Source organism: Homo sapiens, chromosome 4, assembly GCF_000001405.40.
Source record: "Homo sapiens chromosome 4, GRCh38.p14 Primary Assembly".
Lineage (NCBI taxonomy): Eukaryota > Metazoa > Chordata > Mammalia > Primates > Hominidae > Homo > Homo sapiens.
The window spans coordinates 39,305,338-39,329,930 of record NC_000004.12 but is presented as its reverse complement, the minus strand read 5'-3'; the positions used below and the strand labels follow the sequence as shown (position 1 = coordinate 39,329,930).

At 39.5% G+C, this 24,593-nt stretch overlaps 1 protein-coding gene across 7 annotated transcripts in view; it reads left to right on the top strand.

Annotated features, from left to right (window-relative positions):
• The window catches only part of RFC1 (replication factor C subunit 1), a 78,907-nt gene that overhangs the window by 36,432 nt on the left and 17,882 nt on the right, over window positions 1–24,593 (top strand). The window contains exons 5-14 of one of the 7 annotated variants that reach the window (NM_002913.5): window positions 2,175–2,407; window positions 3,291–3,368; window positions 6,514–6,591; window positions 8,557–8,644; window positions 9,262–9,548; window positions 12,909–13,016; window positions 17,000–17,179; window positions 18,382–18,486; window positions 20,899–21,295; window positions 23,230–23,339. In NM_002913.5, coding sequence (NP_002904.3) covers window positions 2,175–2,407; window positions 3,291–3,368; window positions 6,514–6,591; window positions 8,557–8,644; window positions 9,262–9,548; window positions 12,909–13,016; window positions 17,000–17,179; window positions 18,382–18,486; window positions 20,899–21,295; window positions 23,230–23,339 — 1,664 coding nt within the window. Of the gene's footprint in view, window positions 1–2,174; window positions 2,408–3,290; window positions 3,369–6,513; window positions 6,592–8,556; window positions 8,645–9,261; window positions 9,549–12,908; window positions 13,017–16,999; window positions 17,180–18,381; window positions 18,487–20,898; window positions 21,296–23,226; window positions 23,340–24,593 lie in introns of all 7 variants that reach the window. The other 6 variants (NM_001204747.2, XR_007057951.1, NM_001363495.2 and 3 more) reach the window with 6 other exon arrangements.

Here is a 24,593-nt window from a genome sequence, read left to right as displayed (position 1 = left end):
CCCAAATAGCTGGGATTACAGGCATACTCCACCACGCCCAGCTAATTTTTATGTTTTTAGTAGAGACGGGCTCTCACCATGTTGTCCAAGCTGGTCTTGAACTCCTGACCTCAAATGATCCGCCCATCTCGGCCTCCCGGAGTGCTGGGATTGCAGGTGTGAGCCACTGCACCTGGCCTATTTTCAATTGTATTAAAAAAGTTTTTTTTAGAGACAGGTTGGAGTGCAGTGGTACAATCGAGGCTTACTGCAGCCTCCATTTCTTGGGCTCAAGCGATCCTCCTACTGCCTTAGCCTCCTGAGTAGCTGGGGCTACAGGCCTGCACCACCATGCCCAGCTTAATTTTTCTTTTTCTTTTTTTTTTTTGAGACAGAGTCTTGCTCTGTCTCCCAGGCTGGAGTACAGAGGCACAATTTCAGCTCACTGCACCCTCTGCCTCTGCCTCCGGAGTAGCTGGGACTACAGGCGCGCACCGCTACGCCCGGCTAAGTTTTGTAATTTTAGTAGAGATGGGGTTTCACCATGTTGACCAGGCTGGTCTTGAACTCCTGACCTGAAGTGATCTGCCTGCCTCCCCAGCTAATTTTTTTTGGTAGAGATGGAGTCTCATTATGTTGCCCAGGCTGATCTTGAATTCCCAGGCTCAAGCAATCCTCCGCCTCAGCCTCCCAAAGTACTGGGATGACAGGTGTGTGCTACCGTGCCCGGCCTCATGTTTGTCTCTTAGATTTTCATTTTTATTGGATTTCTTTTGTTTATAGGCCAAATCGAAAAGCTTTTTTTTTTTTTTTTTTTTTTTTTTGTGAGTCACTGAAGCAAACAAATTTATTGAGGCCCTTTTGAGGTACATTTTTGGAGCTCCTAATTATCTAAACGTTGTCATGAATGCTTAAAAAGACATTTAAAGCCAGATGTTTTGTGGAAACTTTTTAGAAAAATAAAATGTAACAAAGAATTTATGGTCTTAAATGAATGGTTAGATATCAGTAGATGGTTCACCTGCAATATATAGCTAGAACCTGACAACTTACTACCTCTGCAAATACCACCACAGTCCAAGCCTTCCGTATCTCATCTGAAACTGCAGTAGCTTTCTAAGTGGTCTCCCTGCATTCACTTTCCCCGCTCTGCAGTGTGTTTTCCAAATGACAGGCCTTAAGTTGGGTCACAAACTATTCTCAGAATTCTCCAGTGGATTCCCGTTCTATAATAAAGACTAAAATTATTCCTATTGCCTAGAAAGTCCTCCAGGATTTGGCCCCTACCTCTTTCACCCGAACTCTTCTGGCACGCCTCCGCATTGTGCTGCAGCCACATTGAACTCCAGGCACACTTCCGTCTCGGCTTTTCCATTTGTAGTTTTAATTGCCCAGATATTCTTGCCTGAGGTATCTTCATTTCAGGCCTCCGTTAAAATGTTGTTTATCAAAGAGGCATTCCCTCACTACCTTATCTCAAAGAGTACCCTTCATCACTCTTTAATTCTTTCACCCTGTTTTACTTTTTATTCATAGAACATTTAACTTGACAGTGTATATTTGTTTATTTGTATATCTGTTTCCTCTTCTAGACTTTAAGTTCCATGAGGGCAGGGATTTTGTCTTTTTTATTCACTGCTGTATCTTAAGTTCCTGGTACATAATGAGTGCTCAGTAAATATTTGTGTACTCTTGGTAGTAACTGGGGGATATAGCGTATTACAGGCCTGGCACTGGTAAATGTGGGGATGATGGTTGAATTTTGGAGATAGGGGGAAAAAGTTATTAGCATCTCTAAGTTCTTGGATGTTTATTTTGTTTTTGAGACAGGGTCTTTGTTGTTCAGACTGGAGTGCAGTGGTGCAATCACAGCTAACTGCAGCCTCAACCTCCTGGGTTTATATCCTCTTGCCTCAGCCTCCCTAGTAGCTGGGACTACAGGTGTGTACCACCATGCCTGGCTAATTTTTTGTTAATTTTTTTGAAGAGAAGGAGTTTCATGATGTTGCCCAGACTGGTCTCGAACTCCTGAGCGCAAATGATTCTCCTATCTTGGTCTCCAAAAGTGCTGGGATTACAAGCATGAGCCACCATGTCTAGCCTCTTGTATACTTTTTATAAAGTTGGTAGAAGTGTTTTCTTTGTATAACCGAATTGATGTTTTATAAAAAATATTTGGTTACATTTCATTTAAGATGAAGAAGATGACTTTATGTGTAAGAAGGCGGCCTCTAAATCAAAAGAGAATGGAAGATCTACAAATAGTCATCTTGGAACATCAAACATGAAAAAGAATGAAGAAAACACTAAGACCAAGAATAAGCCTTTATCACCAATAAAACTTACACCCACATCAGTACTTGATTATTTTGGAACTGGAAGTGTCCAAAGATCTAATAAGAAGATGGTGGCAAGCAAAAGAAAAGAGGTAAGTGTTCTACATATAAGCAAGTATGCTCAGGATTTATACCCATTCACTAATATTAACAGGAGAAACTAGGATGTAGTAAATAGGCAACATGTTTTAATAATTAAAATAATTTTCCTATGATTATGGATAAAATGTATTGCCCTCATTTTAAAGGATGAGGAAGTTGGAATGTTACATATTTAATTTTTTAATTCTTGAAAGCGGGAAAAGATCATTTAAGCCATAAGAAAAAATGATAATTATTCGAATTTAAATTGAGTTCTCAGAATGGAAACTCATTTTACTATTGACCTCAACCAGTCAATATTAGCGATAAATTTGTTTCCAAATGAGATAATAAATAGATTCCTTATAAATAGAGCATACCTATGCTACACTTGTGACCTTCTCTACTTTGGCAGATATTGGATTCATCTGTTTCTGGCCATTTAGGAAACAGACATACCAGATAAATTATGGTGAAAGTAGTCCCCTGAGTTAAAGAAAGCCTGCCCCATAGTGTGTGTTTGTTGATTCTATCACTTCCTCCATAGAACAATGTAATCATTCTCACATATTGGTTTGCCAATGTTCTGGGCTACTTGTCAAGCCAAGACATTAATCTACAGGATTGGGTTTTTTTATTTTTATTTTTGGTACTTCTCTTGAACATATCAATAGAACTAAGTGAGACAGGTCTGTCTATAGGATATTTATTAGGGATTGGATATGGTCAGGGAGTAGCCATAAATTTGACTTTCTGGCTGGTGTACATTGCAGCTGTTACTGATAGATACACTTATCTCTCACTGGTGTATTTAATCAGCAACAGTCAAGAAAAAGTGCCTTATTTTTAACTTAAGGTTTATGCTGATTTTGCTTGATTTTCTTTGAAATATAGCTTTCACAAAATACAGATGAGTCTGGATTAAATGATGAAGCCATCGCCAAGCAATTACAGCTTGATGAAGATGCGGAGGTATTGGCATTTTGCTTAGAATCATTAGTAACTTGATATTCTGACTAGCTATTTAGTCCAGCCAGGTTTTGAATTGAACCTCATTGGAAGTTACATGTAAAATAAGTTAAAATCTAATAAATGAAAATCTAAATTTCTATACAAGATAAATGATGAGACCAGGGGAGAATTATTTACTGAAAGATTTATTTTTAGAGAAGATTGATCAAGTGCTGTGAGATGATTTTGAAGAAATGGCTAGCAGCAAATCCTGTAGGTCATGATAGGTCTTTGATACCTACAAAAAGGATGTTAATTATAAGGACTTTGGAATTTAGTTTCTTCCAAATGGGAAACCATTGGAGTTTTTATTTTTTATTTTTTGAGACAGAGTCTCGCTTTGTTGCCCAGGCTGGAGTGCAGTGGCATAATCTGGCTAATTGCAACCTCCACCTCCTGGGAATCAAGTGATTCTCCTGCCTCACCTGCCCCAGTAACTGAGACTACAGGCGCCCACCACTACGCCTGGCTAATTTATGTATTTTTAGTAGAGACGGAGTTTCACCATGTTGGCCAGGCTGGTCTTGACCTTGGCCTCCCAAATTGTTGGGATTACAGGTGTGAGCCACCACACCCAGCCCCATTGGAGTTTTGAATAGAAAAGTGACATGACTTGGTGGATCTTAAAAGAAAATTACTTTGGCTTCGATGATGTTAATAGTTCATGGTGGGGGCAAGATCAAAAGCAGATCAGTTTGCAGACTGAATGGTAGGTGAGAGATGTCAGCTTGTAATAGGAAAAGGCAGTGAGAAGTGGGCATAATCTGAATGTGCCTTGAAACATGCAAGTTCTTTTTGACAGATTGGATGTAAGGTGTGAGGGAAGAAGATTCACAGATGAGGCTGGGTGTGGTGGCTCATGCCTGTAATCCCAGCACTTTGGGAGGCCGAGGTGAGAGGATCACTTGTGCCTGGGAGTTTGAGACCAGTCTGGGTAACATAGGGAAATCCCATCTCTACCAAAAATACAAAAATCAACTGGGCATGGTGGTGCACACCTGTGGTCCCAGATACTTGGGAGGCAGAGGTGGGAGGATTGCTTGAGCCTGGGAGGTTCAGGCTGCAATGAGCTGTGATTGTGCCACTGCACTCCAGCCTGGGTGACAGAGCAATACCTTGTCTCTCGGAAAATAATATTCAGTTATGGCCTTAACAACTGGGTGAATGGTGATACGATTTACTAAGGCTGGAACACAGGAAGCAGAACAGGTTTGGTACAGAGAGATCTTTTGGACAAGTTAAGTTTGAGATGTCTAATAGACTTCCAAATGGAAAGGCAGAGTAGGTGGTTGGGTAGAAGAGTCAGGAACTCAGGGGAGAAGTCTAAACTGAAGATGGACATTTGGAAATCATTACCAGTTGAGTAATATTTAAACCTGTGTAACTGGATGAGATCATGGGGAGATAATGCAAATAGAAAAGAAAGAAAGGTCTCAGGATTGAGCCCTGGGCCACTGTTAGAGGTCAGGAAAAGGAGGATGATCCAGCAAAGGAGAGGAGAGAGTGGCTAGTGAAGTAGGAACATCAGGAGAGGTTGATATCTTACAGAAGCCAAAGAAAGTATTTCAGGGAGGAGCGCTCATCTCTGTCAGAGGTTCCAGGCTTAGCTGCCGGCTGTTAGAACTCCCTTCCTCTTGCTTAGCTTAAGTGTCACTTTCCCAGACTACCTCAACTATATTAGAAACCCCTCCGATATACTCTGTCACACTCTGTCATAGCTACTATTATCATTTATTATACTTGCTATTTAATTAGAATGGCAAGTATAGGCTCTAAGGTCCCCTCACCAGGACTCTCACTCAACCATTTGTCTCAACCATTTATGTCTCACTCAACCATTGTTACATCAGTGCTTATCTTAGTGTCTGGCATACAATGGGCTCTTGATAAGTATTATTGTGAGAGAACAATATTGTGATTGTTCACATTTTATTACTTTGGCAGTTTAGTTTGTGTTTTCAAAATGTTTTTCTATCTTATTTGATCACACTGAATTACATAAACTACAAGCGAGTATCCACATGACTCAAGGTAGCACAAGTAGCCTAGGTCAAACTAGGAAGTAATTTTTAGGAACCTGACTTCTCCTGATCCAAATACTAGAGGGTTACCTAATCCTTTCCAAACCAGGTGTGGTACTTTGTATCACAATCCTCTATTTTTCCATTTTTATCACATTCTTTCAGAATCTTGTTTGGGTAATTTATTAATCTGATTAAGGACTTCTAGGTGTCAGTAACTGAAGATGTCTTTACTAATTATCCCTGTAAGAGTTTTTCCTCCCTTTTTTTTCACTTCACTTTTAAAAGATTGAGTGGATTTTGAAGTCCTTTTCTTTGTTTGAATAATGTAGGGTGTTTTTTATTGAATATCACGTAAGGCCATTTTACCAGGGAGCATACAGCCATTTGGTTTATAATGAGAAAGATACTCCACTGCTATATATTCTCTTTTGGAAGAGCTCCATTTTGCTGAATGTGAAAGTATTTTGAAATAACTGAGATAACTAGAATGTCTCTGTGTTACATTAGCATGTTAGTAGAACTCCTGACATGATGACTTAAATTTTCAAAAGTGAGAACAGATGCATTTGAATTAGTAATTGAAAATAGGAGTTTGATAGTAAAAGTGATTTTACATTTGTATATAGCTTACTATATGTGCCAAAAAAATACTGTATAATTTTTTTAAATTCTTAGATTCACTATTTTTGTACTCCCCAGATGATTGTGTTTTCCTATTAGGTTGAGATTCCTTTCAGAGGTCTTTTTAGATAATAAATAGAAATAAGAAAGCTGTGTTGCATAAGAACCATTAAGAGAAAAGTACAGACCTCATGTTTTATAAGTAAGAAATATGACTTTAAAAATATGCTCACTTTATCTGTCATCCCTGCAAAACCAGAACTGTATGTTCCAAAATCTGATTCAGCTTAGTGAAACAAACCTGTGATACTTCACTATTAATGTTGAGTGGGAAAATGTCATAATTATTTTCTGGAAAATGTTTTTCTAGTTTCTTCTAAATATATGAATCAGACATTTAAAAATTCTATTTACGAAAAGAAAAAGAGCAACTCAACTCACTTTGCTGACACATTTTACAGCTGGAGAGGCAGTTGCATGAAGATGAAGAGTTTGCCAGAACATTAGCCATGTTGGATGAAGAACCCAAGACCAAAAAGGTGGCATAATGTTGGGCTATTTGCGTTCTGAATATACAGTACAGATCAGTGTTCATACTTGCGTGTTCTAGGCTCTAGCCAAAACATGAATAACTTTTCCAGAAAGAAATTAAATTATTTTATAAAAATGTTTTTGGGGAAGCTCATTGAGAAACTTATTCTTCTTAAAAGAAGGGTGACGGCATCAAAACAAACCAGAACCTTTTATCACAAAACAAAGAATTATATCTTTTCCTTATTCTTTTTATATTTTATTTTATTTGTTTTAGAGACAGGGTCTCTCATGAAGTGCAGTGGCCTGATCTGGGCTCAGTGCAACCTTTGCCTCCTGAGCTCAAGTGATCCTCCTGCCTCAGCCTCCCGAGTAGCTGAGACTACAGGTGTGTGCCACCACACCCATCTAATTTTTGTATATTTTTGTAGAGAGGGGGTTTTGTTATGTTGGCCAGGCTGGTCTTGAACTCCAGAGTTCAAGTGATTCTCCTGCCTCAGCCTCTCAAAGTGCTAGGATTATAGATGTGAGCTACCATGCCTGGCCTTTTAGTTCTTTTTTTTTTTTTTGAGACAAGGTCTCACTCTGTTGCCCAGGCTGGATTACACTGGCACGTTCATAGCACACTGAAGCCTCGAACTCATGGGCTCAAGCTATCCTCCCACCTCAGCCTCCCAAAGTGTTGGGATTAGAAGCATGAGCTTCTGTGCCCAGTTTACCTTTTCCTTACTCCTTTATCATAGGAGTTCTTATGTACTTGTTCAGAAAATAATGCTCATAAAAATTCTTTTGGAACACAAGTTTAATAACTTCAGTATTAATCACTGTCTTTTCAGGAAGCACAGTTTTGTCAGTTCTAATTAGTTAACTCTAAGATCTATATTATGACAGTCTCATATAATAATGAGTATATTTTGAGGAATCTTTTTCTTTCTTTTTTTTTGCGAGGTCTCACTTTGTCACCCACGCTGGAGTGCAGTGGTGCTATCTCAGCTCACTGCAACCTTGACTTCTTGGGCTTGATTGATCCCCTCACCGCAGCCCCCCAAGTAGCTGGGACTACAGGCATGTGTTACCACACCCAGCTAATAATTTTGTGTTTTTTGTAGAGATGGGGTTTTGCCATGTTGCCCAAGCTGGTTTTGAACTCCTGAGCTCAAGTGATCTGCCTGCCTCAGCCTTATTTTGGGGAATCTTTAAAACATCAAGACTTTAATTTTTTTAATTTTTTTATTTTTATTTTTTATTTATCTCCAGGAGATTAGCTTTATTTCTGATGAATCACATTCTGTTAATATAATTGTCAATGTCAATATGTGATTACTTCAAAAGATTTTACTTCTTTAAAGCAGAGAGTTGTAAACCTAGATACATCAGGAGCTAAGACTAAACAGGCAGGTATTAAGACAGTAGGGAGTGGTAGAGACTTTGCCATTTGAAAAGTCTTATTTCATCTAAAGACACTCAAATTATAATTACTTTAAAAGACTGTATCACACACCTCAATTTGTGAACTTTTTATAAAATGGAGTTTTGAAGGAGCAGTGGAAAGAATGGATATATTTTTTTCCCCTTTGAGAAAGTGCTCTCATTTTCTTTCGAGCTTTTGTTTATTTTTATTTTAGTCTTTTAAATTTAGATTTTAGTTTTTAACTACTTAATACTAACAATTTGAGAGTTGAGATGAAGGAGAAATAAGGCTTCTACTTCCAGATTTACAGGTTGGGATGAAGAGAGATAATTTTTATAGATGTATTTTTATACCCTTTCATCTGTTTCCTCATTTGTAACATGAAGTAATAAAATATGCCTCATTTGCCTTGGAAATTTTGTGGATGAATGAATGACAGTTTATTGTAGTGTCCTGCTAGTTGAAAGGTGACCCTTAAAATTTTGATGGATTTTAACAACAGATTTTATGGTAATAGTTTTTCTATTATTTGTCACATTTGACACTTTTAAAATTTGTTTAGGCTCGAAAGGACACAGAAGCGGGAGAAACGTTTTCATCTGTCCAAGCCAATTTAAGTAAAGCAGAAAAACATAAATATCCTCATAAAGGTAATACTAGCAGAAAAAAGTAAGATGGAGCACTTGTCTTCATGGAAGTAAATTCATGATAATCTTGTTTAAGTATCCTATTCAGTAATTATGTATTGTTAGGTAGACATTATTTCACAGGACTATTAGAGCATATTGAACTTAGAAACTTTGAAAGCTCTTTGGATGCTAGCTGGTACAGAATGCCCATCTGCTCTATGATTACTGTGAGAATTGTGTTAAAACTCCTGGCTTCTTGTTAATTTCCAAGTATAGTGCAATATGTGGATTTCAATATATAAAGATGAAGAACCTAGATGTTTTGAGCTTTTCATGTCAGAGGTAGTCTCAGAGTTGACTCATAGTTGGCCAGGTCATCTTCAGCTCTCTTGCTTATTGCCTGTAGGTTTTATTCTTCAGTGGTTCTGATAGCAAATCATCTGCTAGTCTAGATGATCTTAGTCCTATAAGTAAATGTATTTATAGATTTACTATAAACAGATGGTCTTGACACTTTAGGACTTTGGGCCTTCAGGGTATATTCTGTGCTAAGATTACTCAGTTGAAAAATGAAAGAAAAGTTGATATAGATTATCATTTTCCAAAAACAACAACCATAATCTTTTCTTTCTTCCTAGTAAAAACAGCACAAGTTTCAGATGAAAGAAAGAGCTACAGTCCTAGGAAGCAAAGTAAATATGAAAGTTCAAAAGAATCTCAGCAACATTCCAAGTCATCAGCTGACAAAATAGGAGAAGTCTCTTCTCCCAAGGCCAGTTCTAAGCTGGCAATTATGAAAAGAAAAGAAGAGAGCTCTTATAAAGAAATAGAGCCTGTGGCCTCAAAAAGAAAAGAAAATGCCATTAAATTGAAAGGAGAGACAAAAACTCCTAAGAAAACCAAAAGTTCTCCAGCTAAAAAAGAGGTAAGAACTTTGTTTTTTTTTTTTTTTTTTTTTGAGATGGAGTTTTGCTCTTGTTGCTGAGGTTGGAGTGCAGTGGCACAATCTCGGCTCACTGCAACCTCTGCCTCCCAGGTTCAAGCAACTCACCTGCCTCAGCCTCCCAAGTAGCTGGGATTACAGGCATGTGCCACCATGCCTGGCTAATTTTGTATTTTTAGTAGAGACGGGGTTTCTCCATGTTGGTCAGGCTGGTCTTGAACTCCCGACCTCAGGTGATCTGCCCACCTTGGCCTCCCAAAGTGCTGGGATTACAGGTGTGAGCCACCGCGCCCGGCCTTGGTAGGAACTTTCTAGGGAGTACAGTATTCCCCCTTATCCATGGTTTTGCCTTCTGAAGTTTCAGTTACTTGTGGTTAATCATGTTCTGAAAGTATTAAATGGAAAATTCCAGGAATGAACAATTAATAAGGTTTAAATTGGGTACTCTTCTGAGTAACATGATGAAATCTCTCTGGCCAACCTGCTTTATCTCACCCAGGATGTGAATCATCTCTTTGTCCAGCATAACCATGCTGGATACACTACCCACCCGTTAGTCACTTGGTAGCCGGCTTGGTTATTAGATAGAAAAAACAGTACATGTAAGTATATATATAGTTTGGTACTGTCTGTGGTTTCAGGCACCTACTGGGGTGGTCTTGGAACATACCCTCCTCGGATAAAGGGGGACTGCTGTATATATTTTGGTGCTATGTGTTAGTCTGGGTTTGTTTTCAAGTTTTATTTCTAACGATCATAAGTCATTATAATATTTTTAAGATATCTTATTTAGAAGCTGTTGTAGGATATGGAGTATTAATATAGCTAAGTAAGCCCATATTTATTGTTATTGTGTGTCAGATACTGTGCGAATACTTTACATGTGGTAGCTCATATAATTTTCACAACAACCCTGTGAGATATTTATTTTTATTATTCAACTTTTAAAGACGAGGAAACAGGCTGAAAGAGTTTAACTATTCTAAGATCATCCACCTGGTAAGTGGCAGGGCCAGCCTTGAACTCAGGTCCTCTGAAGCAGTATAACATAGTGGCTCCACACACAGGCTCTGGAGCCAGTTTCAGGCTCTGGGACTCTGAGCAGGTTTGGTCACTTCCCCTGTCTGTGCTTTGGTGCTGTTTGTAAAATAGGAATAATAATAATAGTACCTAATGACTTCATATGTAAAAGCACTTAGAGCAGTGCCTGGGACCTAATAAGTGCCATCTTAACTATTATTATTAAAATGATTGTTATTTGGCTTAGTCCTAAATTTACTCTTTTTTATTCTTGTACAACAGTGTTGCGATACTGAAATTATTTTTAAAGGAAAAAATGATGAGATAATGAATATCTTTGAAAAATTTTGCTAGGAAATATATTTGAGAAGCGAACGGTCTCTGAATCTCCAATTTGGAACTACTTTAGATTCATAATGAGAAACCACTATTCATTCATGCCTCTTAGGCACTTAGGATTAAAAGCAGAATATCACCTATTTTAACTGGTCATCACCATTATATTTTAGTGCAGAACAGTGAAATGGTGATGATTTCAGAATGCTTTTGTTTGTGGACAATGCTTATAAATACGCTTAAAGGAGCAATTAACTTTTTGATCTCAGATTTTTTCTGCACTAAATGCTTATCTGGTAAATGAATGGTTTTCTTCAGGCACACTAAAACATGTTCCATTTACAGAGGCAGTCTGTTTTTATGAAGAAAGAGGAAATCTTTAAATGATACTCTTCACTGTACTTTTTAAAGTTAGAATAGAAATAACTCAAAACTTTTACTTAAGCAGTTTTGGTTGGAAACGTCAAATAAAGTCTATTTAATACATTTAGTTGGTCTTGGTCAAATAATTCTGACTTCATAAAGTGGGTGTCCTTCAAAGTTATTGTATACGCTGTTTACCATTCAGAATTCTTTTCATAGAATGAGTGTCGTAAATTAATCGTTTTTCCATGTTGGTATGCACTGGACTCTCTTGTGAAACTTGTTAAAAAAATGGAGTTTCCCAGGGAATGTGGTGTGGGCAGCTGTATTTTAATAAGCTCCTCATATGATATGAACACACACCAACATTTGAGAACCATTGTTAGAAAGTAGGGTTAGATTCTAGGACCAGCCTGTTAATGGCTTATCGACCTCTTAGCCAAACCAGCTGAACTATTTTATTGGTTAAGCCATTCCTTTTTTTTTTTTGAGACGGAGTCTCGCTCTGTCACCCAGGCTGGAGTGCAGTGGCGCGATCTCAGCTCACTGCAAGCTCCGCCTCCTGGGTTCACGCCATTCTCCTGCCTCAGCCTCCCGAGCAGCTGGGACTGCAGGCGCCCGCCACCAAGCCTGGCTAGTTTTTGTATTTTTTTAGTAGAGACGGCGTTTCACTGTGTTAGCCAGGATGGTCTCGATCTCCTGACCTCGTGATCCACCCACCTCGGCCTCCCAAAGTGCTGGGACCACAGGCGTGAGCTACTGCAGCCGGCCGCCATTTCTTTGTATAGAAGTTACTATTTTGTCTACTCTCAAAAGGATTTGGGATTGCTTACAAGTTAAAAATAATGTTAAAATAGGAAGTGGAAAAATAACAAACACCTGATAGTGGTTCTTAAATGAGAGCTATCTAAGATATTTTTCCCCCACATAAACACATTCTAGCCATACCCCATATCTCCGAAAGAGAAACTTGGAGGTGGATCTAGGGATGCATAGTTTGAAAAGTTTCCCCAGGATTTTCTGAGATATACCTATGGTAAATTCCCCGAGAGAAGTAGAATGGGAGGAGATGAAATAGCATAGAGAACGTGTCTTCTCTTTGGAGTAAAGCTTGTACCTTCTTTGAGCTGACTGTTTAGATTCTCCTACTGGAATGCTTATGTCCTTAGGGATGCAGGCTGGTGCTTTAGGGGCATGGAAGGTCATAGGATTAACACAGAATATCTTCTCGGGCGATCAGGTTTACTTGGGGAAAAAATGTATTTTCCCGTTAAACATGGATATATGGATATATCATGAAATATAATTTAAAATTCAGGTGAATTCCTAAAGTAAAACACTTTTTGCATTTCTTTGCTTGGAGCTGGCAACTTGGCTTATTCCCATAATCTGCCCTGAGGTGTGTGGCTTTAGAGAGTGGAAAGTTTTGAGAAGCGCTGATGCAGGGATGTTCGTAAGTCAGTTGTCTGTAAGTTAGGAAGTACTTGTGTAGCTAAAACTGTTAATTTCACAGCCAGACACAGAAGTGACACAATAAAAATAATGTTTATTTCTAGATATGTATTTTAAATTTTGCATGAATTCTGTATGACTTTGTTCATTTTCCTTTCCCTGTTCCCAAAGTCTGTAAGTCCTGAAGATTCTGAAAAGAAACGCACTAATTATCAAGCTTATCGAAGCTACTTAAATCGAGAAGGTCCCAAGGCTCTGGGCTCCAAAGAAATACCAAAGGTAAGAGTACTGAGAGGGCATGCCATTCTGTGAGGGCCTCTGCCGTATGGGTCCATGTATGTATTCACGATGATTATAGCAGCAGAGGATTAATAATTAAAAATGAGCAACAGAAAAGCTTCAGTTACTGTCTTCAAGAATTAGGGATGTTTATTCATGTTATGAATCACTGCTTGATACTTAGAAAAATTTCCCTTTAAATAACAAGTAGCCCTAGAAAGGCTGAGCTTTGAGACTATACCAGTGACAAAACTAATGTTTTTGCTTGCATGGCACTTATAGCCTAAAGAAAGAGACATTAAATAAATAATTTAATTATAATTGGGATATGTGCTATGAGGGAAAAATCTAAGATGCCCTTAGGTAGTATAACAGAGGAACCTGGTCCTTGGTGGGGCATGTAGAATGTGACATTTAAATGGAGACTTGAAGAATGAAAGGGATTCAACAGGTGTGAAGGGGTTGTGATGGCGTGGTGGTCTGGGCAGAGGGGCCAGAATGTATGATGTTCCTGCAGGGGGAAGGTTCTTGCATGGTATGTTTGAGGAACTGAAAGAAAAATTATGGTTGGAGCATAGTGACCAAGGGATGAGAATGGCCAAAGAGGTTAATAGGATCACATCTTGCAGGGCCTAATGTTTAAGACTTTTGTCTAAGAGAAGGAATTTTTATTTTGTGTTTTTGAAATGGAGTTTTCGCTCCTGTTGCCCAGGCTGGAGTGCAGTGGCGCAATCTCAGCTCACGGCAACCTCCACCTCTTGGGTTCAAGCGATTCTCCTGCCTCAGCCTCTGGAGTTGCTGGGATTACAGGCGTGCGCCACCATGCCTGGCTAATTTTGTATTTTTAGTAGAGATGGGGTTTCTCCATGTTGGTCAGGCTGGCCTCGAACTCTCGACCTCAGGTGATCTGCCTGCCTTGGCCTTCCAAAGTGCTGGGATTACAGGCGTGAGCCACTGGGCCCGGCCGAGAAGGAATTTTAAAGTGGAGGGATAACATGACCAGATTTGAATTTCTGAAAGATCGCTCTGGCTGCTGATGTACCAAGTGCTGTGGATGGGGCAGAAATAGCTACACAGAGATCATCAGGAGAGATGGTGAGAAGTGATAGGGACTGGTCTGGGGGAGCAGTGAAAATGTCGAAAAGTGGAGAGGTTTCACTAGAAGAGGCAAAATCTATGGGACTTGGTGATAATTGAAGTGGAAAGTGAGAAGAAAGAGTATTGGGGATGATCTTGTTATTGGCATGAGCAGCTTGGTGGATCATGCGATTGGTGGCAGGGCTAGTTTGGGGAGATGATAATGAGTTCGTTGTTGGCCACACTGTGCTTTAGGGTTATGTGAGATGTCCACATGGAGATGCTGAGTAGACAAGCAGATATGTGGGACTGGAGCTTAGAACAGAAGTCAGAACTAGATGGACAAACTTGGGCATTCTTGGCATGAAGGGATTAATAGCATCTGGTAAACTAGTACAGAACAAGAAGAGAAGAGGGCCTTGGCCCCTGCTTCTTTGTGAAGTAGAAGAGGGTGGAAACCAAAAGGAAACTGAGAAGTAGCAGCTACAAATATGGGAGAGAAGTTTGATAAGCGTGGGATCACAGAAGCAAAGGGAAGAGAGAGTATTTCAAAAATGATTGAGTAGTTAAGTCTGTCATGCTGTTAAGATTCCAGGTAAGGGAAGACCGGAAATTGTTCCATTTAGTAACATGAATTAATGATCCTTAGTGGCCTTAGCAAGAGCTAAGGACAGTGGAGGCAGAGCCTGATGGAAGCGGGTGGAAGAGTGAGTGTGAGGAGACAAAATGGAGACAGCAAAAGTAGATATTTTTGATAAGTTTGGCTGTGAAGGAGAAAGAAGTGGGAGGACTTCTAGCTAGAAGGACTAGAAGGGGAAGTGACTTCTAGCTAGAATGGAAAGTGGAATTTAGGGGGAGATTTAAGTATTTTTATGGTAGGAGATATTTAAAGCATGCGTTTTGCTAATGGGATAGATCCTACCAGAAAGGGAGAGATGGAAGTTATACCAGCAGGAGAAGGAGAATCAATTGTAGCATGAGATTTCTAAGAAGGCAGGAGGGGAGGGGATAAGTATACAATATATGTATAAATTTAATTTTCAGTTTGCTTGGTATATATAAGTACATATAGAGATTAATAGCTCCCCTAATAAAGAGAGGGAGAGATGGTGTAGCTGGGACCGGAGTGGGGAGCGAGAAGGTCGGCCTTAAGGGGCTTATGGGTTTTATGGGAGCCTGCAGGAAGATGCCAGTCTTGCCTCCTGTACATGGGTATGAGAGACCAAACAAGTTCTGCTTGAGAGGACTTCAGTCAAAGTGGTGCCCTGAGGGGACAGACAGGTTTCAGTGAAGGCAAGGCTATGGAGGGAATGTTGGAGAAGAGGTTGAGGATACTAGGGGTGGCTGGCTGCTCCTGGAGTAAGAGCTTAGCCAAATTCTAGAATAGAAGAGTTTGATAGGGAGGCTAGAAGTGCTAAGATTGGATAAGTAAAAAGATAATCAGAGCCATAGTGGGTGATAATTTGGGAGATAATAGATGTTTGGGATATGGGATATAGGGGCTTGCATGTGCAATTTTTCCAGGGTTGTTTTGAGTTTGTTCAGAAGTAGTTAAGTTCCTGTAGTGTTACAGTAGATCATTTCAATCCAAGAACCCATAAAGGCTTCAAGGGACCCTGAGATATTGTTAGTCAAACCTTTTCTTTCCAAGCACCTTCATAGCTGTTTCTTTTTGTCTTCCGAGAAAGATTCTTCATCTGAATGGTGAAGGATTGAACTTACATGGAGGCAGTCTTTGAATTTTGGTTGGCTGCTGCTTTTCAAGCCCATTTTAAGTTTATTAATCTCAATTCTCTATTAAAAGAGTAATAAGTAACTTGGAATGTCATGTATAATTTTCATTTTGTTTGGTTGTATAATTTTATTGAACCATTGCAAAAATATATAACTCAACATAGTTCCAATTAAGATTTAATGTCTTTTCCATCCAGCTCTCTTTGGCAAGTATCTCTTATATTATACATTATGAGAGTTATCTTTCCAATCCAGAGATAATACGATCTTGCCTTTAAGTTACTAGAAGATTGCTAGATTTACTATCCTAGAGTAATGAGCAGAGAGGAAGGCACGAGCTCACACTTGCTTAGCTTTTTAGAATCAAAACTTTCCCTTTTTAACAATAGCAAGAGTTGCCTTTTTTCCCTTTTTTCCCATAAAACAGTAAAAATTTTTTATTAAGCATTATAAGTTGCATTCAGTAGCCTTCAGATATGCCACACCACAATCCATTGGCAGACCATCCAACCCAGCAGCAGTTTGTTCTTGTACAATCCATGAGTTCGGGCAAAACTCCCTTCAACTTACAGTTAAGATCCTACTTAGCTCTTGCGGGCAGGGATTGGGGAATTAGACCTCATTTCTGATCACTAATGTGGTGAAAAGCATCAGAAGTATTTGAAAATGATAAGAAGTGATTCTGATTTTAAAGTACATTGTTTCGAAACATTAACAGAAACATCAAAATGATAGGAGTATACCTGCTTCTATTAAATTCTTGTTGGGAAAGTTCTTAAGAACAAGCAGTTTCCTGAATAGCAAGAGTTTCTACAGATGGATTGCATTTGGTTGTTTATTTATAGTTATGCAAGTTAACTAGTAGTTTAGATATGAAGAGGGCATAATGGAAAATAGTATGAATGGGTAATTTTAATAGCTTTGCTAACAGTGTTGGATGTATGTTTTTCACTGCTTGTTTTGTAAGTTTATTAAACGTTAGCCATATCAAAATTTCTTAGGATCTAATTTCAGGTGGTGCTTATTTGCTGTAAATTTCCAGCAAACTTTCCATGCCAAGGTTATTTATGATGTGAAATGAGAAAAATCAACTTCCTGCAGTTTTGATGCCAAATGTTTCTTTGGAAAGCTACCATGTAATTTCCTCTCTGCTTGAACATTTTGGTTTTTAGGGAGCTGAAAATTGCTTGGAAGGCCTTATATTTGTAATCACAGGCGTGCTGGAGTCTATTGAACGAGATGAGGCCAAGTCTCTAATTGAACGTTATGGGGGAAAAGTAACAGGAAATGTCAGCAAGAAAACAAATTATCTTGTCATGGGTCGTGATAGTGGACAGTCCAAGAGTGATAAGGTGGGTACTGCTTTGTTCTCAACACCATGACACCTCCTGCCTGCCTTGGCACACTCTTGATGTGATTTGCCCTTTACTCAGAGTTAAATGAAGGAAAGAAATAGAAAAGTAATTTCTTGCCTACATTATTTCTTCTCCACAGAAGTGTTATTGGCTCTGACACCAGGATTTTGGTTTTCCAATGGAAGGCATAGTTCCTGTTTACTTGACTTTTTTTTAGTGTATTTAAGTTTAAGTCTTTTTTTATTTTTGAAGATAGAAACAAATGCAGTTTTCTTTTTCTTCCAGTCCGAAGTATTCCTATATATGCCACTGTATACACCATCTTAGGTTTTTTTAAATTGGTGTTTTTAGAAAAAGAATCAGCGGCCTGTTGGGTAGGATTGTGTTTAGCTCCAAACAGCAGAATATCTGATTAACCGTGGATTAAACAGCTGCTAATTTTTCTCACAAGAATTCTGGAGGTATTGCTGGGATAGTTCGGCATCTCAACGATGTGGTTCCTCCATCTGTCCTTATTGTGTTAACTTTTGTCCTCATGCATGTTGCCTTGTGGTTGCAAGGTAGTTGCAGCTCTAGGCATTTAAATTCTTATTCAAGGCAGGAAAAGGGAACAGTGGCAAGTATGTCATAAGAGCTGTGACTGGCCTGACGAGAGTTTTCCCAGAAACATGTCTTATAGAATTTCACATAAGGCTCATTGGCCAGAGCTGTCACCTGGCCACTCAGAGCTGTATGGGAGGTTGGGAAGAACCAAGACGTTTCTGGTTGCCTTGGACCAGTCATCATTCATCACTTGAAGAAGGACACATTGGAGTTCCATCAGCAGGGAAGAAGGTGGGGGAAATGTCTGCCATATGCATTAAATATGGGAGAAGGTATGAAGAGCTGGTCTTAGGCCCTAGTGGCCATTGCCCCTTTCTAGGGGAGGAAAGGTAAAGCAGTCCACAAAAGTAGAAATGGACCACTTCCCATGCCAACCTGCTACTCTTAGGGAATGTATCTGTTATTTTCTTTCTTTTCAATGTTACTTTTTCAATGAATGTGCTATTTTTTGTTTTTCTTTTTTAATTCCAGTGTTATCTTAATTTACGAATGTGGTTTTTCACCTACTAATAGGCCCTAGAATTTTTTTTTTTGTAAGAGAAGGGAATGGTAGGATGCAGGATGCAGTTTTGATGGTTTACATTTTTAATCAACAGGCCGCAGCCTTGGGGACAAAAATTATTGATGAAGATGGCCTGTTGAATCTGATTCGGACTATGCCAGGCAAGAAATCCAAGTATGAAATAGCAGTTGAAACTGAGGTTCGTATAAAATGAATGTGATTTAAGTTGGTGTATATTAACTTTTTAATTTCATAGACATATGTCTTGGGTGGATACAGGCTTGTTGGCTGAAAGATTAACATCCCTGTCTACCACAAATGGACCACCTTAGTTCCTTTTGAGCTGGAAGACTCTGCTTCAAGATGTCTACTTTGTTGTTTTTCCTTATCTTTGTCAGGGAATATGAGTAGAGAAAGGACAGTATATTGCATATAACATATCTACTTATCAAACTTTCCTTATTTTCCATATTACTATTATTACTACTATTTTTTAATTTTTTGAGACAGAGTCTAGCTCTGTCCCTCAGGTCGGAGTGCAGTGGTGTGATCTCGGATCACTGCAACTTCTGCCTCCTGGGTTCAAGCGATTCTCCTGCCTCAGCCTCCTGAGTAGCTGGAACTACAGATACCTGACACCACGCCTGCTAATTTTTATATTTTTAATAGAGACGGAGTTTCACCATGTTGGCCAGGCTGGCCTTGAACTCCTGACCTCAAGTGATTCACCCACTTCAGCGTCCCAAAGTGCTGGGATTATAGGTGTGAGCCACTGTTCCCGGCCATATTCTCACGTTGACTTTATGCAAAGGTTATTGTTTAAGAGTTCCTTAAAGGATATTTTAATAGGTATTAGCATGATAAATTTGTTTTCAATTAGAACTGTATTAGGACTTTTTAAATTGTGCAGACACCTAGCCTGTATTAGCTTTTGCAAAAGGAAAAATGTTGGCTCACATAACTAAACTATGGGCAGGGAGGGTCTGGTCTAGGAACTATTGGATCCACAGACTACAAAGCTGTGAGGACCCCTTCAGTTTCTGTCTCTCTGTTTCTACTAGTTAGCCTCATTCATTCCCACTGTAGACCATCTTTTTTTACACACAGGACACAGGATTGCCAGCATTCCAAGATTTTAATGTCCCCAGCTCTGTCACCCAAATGGCAAGATGGTCCATCCAGGTTATTCCGGTTAGAGAAATCTAGGGAATGATTTCGATTACATAACCATAGCATAGTTATAAAAACCAGGAAATTAACATTGATGCCGTATTGTTAACTAACCTGTACATATTTTTCGAACCTTACATTTTTCCCTGTAGTTCTTCTGTTCCAGGGTCCCACACTGCATTTAGTTGTGTCTTCTTAGTCTTCTCCCGTCGATGACATTTCTTCAGTCTTTCCTTGTCTTCTTACAACCTTGACACTTTTAATGAGTACTGGTCAGTTTTGTGGAATGTCTCTCAGTTTGGATCTGTGATGTTTTCTCATGATTAGGTTGAGGTTATGCCTTTTTTCTAAGAACACCATGGATGTGATCTTGTGTCCTCAGTGCATCCTATCATAGATACAGGATGTCAATAACGTCTTATTATTAGTGAGGATAATCTTGATTATTTGGTTAAGATGATTCAGCATCCCACTGAAACTAGTGCTGGGTTCCTTCACTAGTAAAGTGACTATTTTTTCCTTTGTAATCGATAACTGTCTTGGCAGGAGAAGGAGGTACTTATGCTTATATCCTGTTTGTCCTTAAACATTCATCCACTAATTTTAGCATCCACTGCTAAAGAGGCACTAATTTTTTTAAAAACTGAGATATTACATACTATAAAATCCACCCTTATAAAGTATACAAATCAGTGGTTTTTAGTATATTAACAAGAGTATACAACCATTAGCACTGTGTAATTCCAGAACATTTTCCTCACCCTGAAAAGAAACCCTGTACCTATCAGCAGCCACTCATTCTATCCACCCCGTGGCACTCACTGCTCTGCTCTGTCTCTATGGATTTTCCTATGCTGGACGTTTCACGTGTGTATGGAGACATTAGAATATATGGCCTTTTGTGTCTGGCTTCTTCCACTTAGCATAGTGGTTTCAAGGTTGACCTGGGTTGTAGCATGTATCAGTGCTTCAGTCCTTGTTAGGGGTAAATAATATTTCATTGTGTGGACACATCCTATTTTGTTTCTTTTTCAGTTGATGGACATTTGGATTGTTTCCATCTTTTAGCTATAATGTGGTTATGAACATTTGTGTACAAGTTTTTGTCGAGGCATTAACTTTTAATTAGGAAACTTTGAAACAAAAATCTCAACACTGTACCTTGTTTTTTTCAAACTAAAATTGGAGTACTTATTACTTTTAAAAATCAACGTGTTGTCACTTTTAGAAATTGCATTTGGTGGTTTCTGGTGTGTTTGTTAATTTTTATAGTTTAGAAGGTGGTGATTTCCACAAACAGGAAAGTCTGTTGTGAAAAGACCAGCCCAGGTTGAGTAGCCCACTTGGATATCTCTGATTGCTCTCTGTAGTACGTTTAGCAGGATAGAAATTCTGTATGTTTCATCAGGTTTCTTTTTTCCTCATTTTTCCACTTCTTAAGATGAAGAAAGAGTCCAAACTGGAGAGAACACCCCAAAAAAATGTCCAAGGAAAAAGAAAAATTAGTCCATCTAAAAAGGAATCAGAATCTAAAAAGAGCAGGCCGACTTCCAAAAGGGACAGTTTGGCAAAGACAATAAAAAAGGAAACAGATGTGTTTTGGAAAAGCCTGGATTTCAAGGAGCAGGTGGCTGAGGAGACAAGTGGTGACAGCAAGGCTAGGAATTTGGCTGATGACAGCAGTGAAAACAAAGTGGAAAATTTGCTCTGGGTGGATAAATATAAGCCAACCTCGCTCAAGACCATAATTGGACAGCAAGGTGACCAGAGCTGTGCCAACAAACTCCTACGCTGGCTCCGAAACTGGCAAAAGAGTTCTTCCGAAGATAAAAAACACGGTGATTTTACAACCTCACTCATTTTTGTGTGTGTGTATATCAACATGTGATTGCTCAGTGGCACATATATGAGAAAATCTAACGATTCATTCATCTGTCAGCAAGCATTTATTAAGAGCTTGATCTGAACCCAGGTGCAGTACTAGACCCTGCTGGTGGTGTTGTGAACAAAACAGTCCCTCTCAGGAGCTCACAGGCAGTGGGGGAGGCATATCTGAACCAGCCATTAAAATATATTTGCCAAGTACTGCTAGAGGGGTAAGTCCAGGGTGCTGTGAGGATGAAGATGTGTGGTCAGGGCCAGGGTGTGTGTGCTCCCATCCCAGAGGAAGGGATGGCTAAGCTAAGACTTGGAAACAAAGTAGGAGCTAGCTAGGTGAAGGGAGGGAGAGATGAGTGTTGGGTAGGAAAGAGTATGTGTCCCAAGGTCTGAAGCCATGTGACAGCAAGACCCCTGAGTGGCAAGGGCACTAGGAGGAAAGCTGTGAATAAATAACAGAGGCATGCGTGCAGGGCAGTCAGCCTAAACTCCCAGTAGCAAGCACGATTTGCTGTGGCAGGCCCGATAGGCCTGTGCTTCTGTAGTTTCTGTCCTTGTTTATGATGTATTATTTGTCGTGGAGAGTGAAAAGCTCCAATATGTATTTAATGTCCAAAGTATTTTCTTAACTGAGCTTTGAGATCACAAATGTTTTAGTAGTGTTTTCAACATAGACCAGTGATGACTAGATTGCCAATCATCATTGCCAATGATGCCTGTTTATTTATAAAAATAATATATTGTAATGATACAGGACTAAATTTAAGTTAAATCACTTTTTTCATTCTGAAACTTCATAAAATCTCCCTTAAAAGAGGAGACAGGCATTTCATGTGCCTGGAGAAGACTGTTTTTTTTTTGTTTTGTTTTGTTTTGTTTTGAGACAGAGTCTTGCTCTGTTGCCCAGGCTGGAGTGCAGTGGTGCGATCTTGGCTCACTGCAACCTCTGCTTCCTGGGTTCAGGTGATTCTTCTGTCTCAGCCTCCTGAGCAGCTGAGACTACAGGTGCACACCACCATGCCTGGCTAATTTTTTGTAGTTTTAGTAGAGATGGGATTTCACCATGCTGGCCAGGCTGGTCTTGAACTCCTGACCTTGTGCTCTACCCGCCTTGGCCTCCCCAGGTGCTGAGATTACAGGCGTGAGCCACCGCACCCAGCCAAGAAGACTGTTTTAAAGCTTCGGGTGAACTCTAGTCCCTGTCTTCATGCCCGCTGGCAGTAGGTTGAAAACCATTGTCTCTGTCAGTTATTGAGTATGAGTTGAGCATGATGTATGTGCCAGGTGCTCACGTGGTGAGGGGAGGAAGAGTGCTGTAGTGTTGAGGGGCACAAGGTAGTTGCAGACGCAGCATCTTCAAGTCATTTTTTCTTCTTGTGACCATGTAGCTACTATGCTTGTTAACATTTAGTGAAGCTTGCATGGCTCTGTGCTCAGCCATTCCGTCCTCACAACATCCTTAGCAGCAACTTTACTGTTGTTCTCCTCATCTAACAAAGGAGGAGGCAGGCACAGAGGGGCTAAGTCACTTCTAAAGTACCCACGGCTGGTGAGAGGTGGCATGAGGATGGATGGAGTTGGGATCGAGCCCCGGCAGCGTGCTCCATGGCCTGTGCGTTCACAGGAAAGGAAACTCATACAATTATTATTTCAAATCAAGAGTTTTAAGTGAGTTAGTTTTAGTTTTTTATTTTGGGTGGGGGTGAGGTAGGAAGTAGAATTTCACTGAATGCTCTGGAAACTTGTTTATGCTTTGTAGAAAATAGTCTGCAAATTTAGAACTAAACTGGAGGACAGCTGTCTATGTGAAGTTTAGGCATAACTATTTCTGCCATGCTTGAATTTCTGTTAGGTGATATAGGTTGACACTCTGGAACTTCTTTTTTCCTAGCAGCAAAGTTTGGTAAATTTTCCGGCAAAGATGATGGCTCTAGTTTTAAAGCAGCGTTGCTGTCAGGCCCTCCTGGTGTTGGCAAAACCACCACAGCTTCCCTGGTGTGTCAGGTGGGTGCGTTGTCACAGTGTGGTCGGACAGATAACCTCGAGTGGTCATGGCTAGGAGATAAAAGTGTGTACCCACATCTGTGCGTGTGCATGTGTGTGTGTGGTGTCTATATATAAACTGTGTTTATTTTTCTAAGATAAAACCTTTAGAACCTGTTTTGGTTCTGGCGATGTTTGTAATTTTAATCCTTTTAAAATATTGGTAATTAAAGTAATAAGCAATACTTACCAACGAGCGAGGCAGTGTACTAAGCACGTGGGTGTATTATAGATAACAAAAACATGTATTCTAGACTCTGAAAGATGCAAATATCTTAATGCCTTTGAATAATTCTGTGTACTGAATAATTATCTGTACTGTCATCATCCACATGTGTCAAATGAAATAGGCTTAGGGAGGAGGGTGGAGGCCCAGTTTTCACCCGGTAGCGCGACTCAGGGTTCTGCTCTTCAGCACTGTGTGATCCTGCCTTCGTTCCTATTGTCTCTATTGCTACTGAATCCCTGTAGACAATGGGAGAACTTGACTTGCTTAGGCACTAGAGCAGATCAGAGTTCACGTGTTAGTATCACAGTGATGAAATAAGAGATTAGAAATTTATTGCTGGATTTCTCAATCCTCTGCTGCATAAGCTTGTGGTTTCTTTTGTTTTTTTGTTGTATGCATCTGCATAAAATTTAAATAAAATTTTATCTGTTTCCACTGTGTTTATAAACATTAATGAAAAAGCAAAACAACATTTTTTTCCTAGTCCCTACAGTTGTGAACACAACTCTTTTTCTCTCTTTATTATTATCATTATATTTTTTATGAATTAAGGCATAAGGTAATCAGTTTTGGGAAATGAATCAGAAGAATTTGAATTTTCCTGATTTCAGAGGAAAATAGTTTATTGGGATAGTGTCGTGACAAAGAATGATTTAACTTTATAAATTATCTTAGAGAGGATTACTTTTTGATATCTTATTTTATTTTTTTGTTTTGAGACACAGTTTTACTCTGCCACCCAGGCTGGAGTGTAATGGCACGGTCTCGGTTCACTGCAACTTCTGCCTCCCAGGTTCAAGTGATTCTCATGCCTCACCCTCCAGAGTAGCTGAGACTACAGGAACACGCCACCACGCCCAGCTAATTTTTTGTATTTTTAGTCGAGATGGGGTTTCACCATGTTGGCCAGGCTGGTTTCAAACTCCTGACCTCAATTAATCCATCCACTTTGGACTCCCAAAAGCGCTGGTATTACAGGTGTGAGT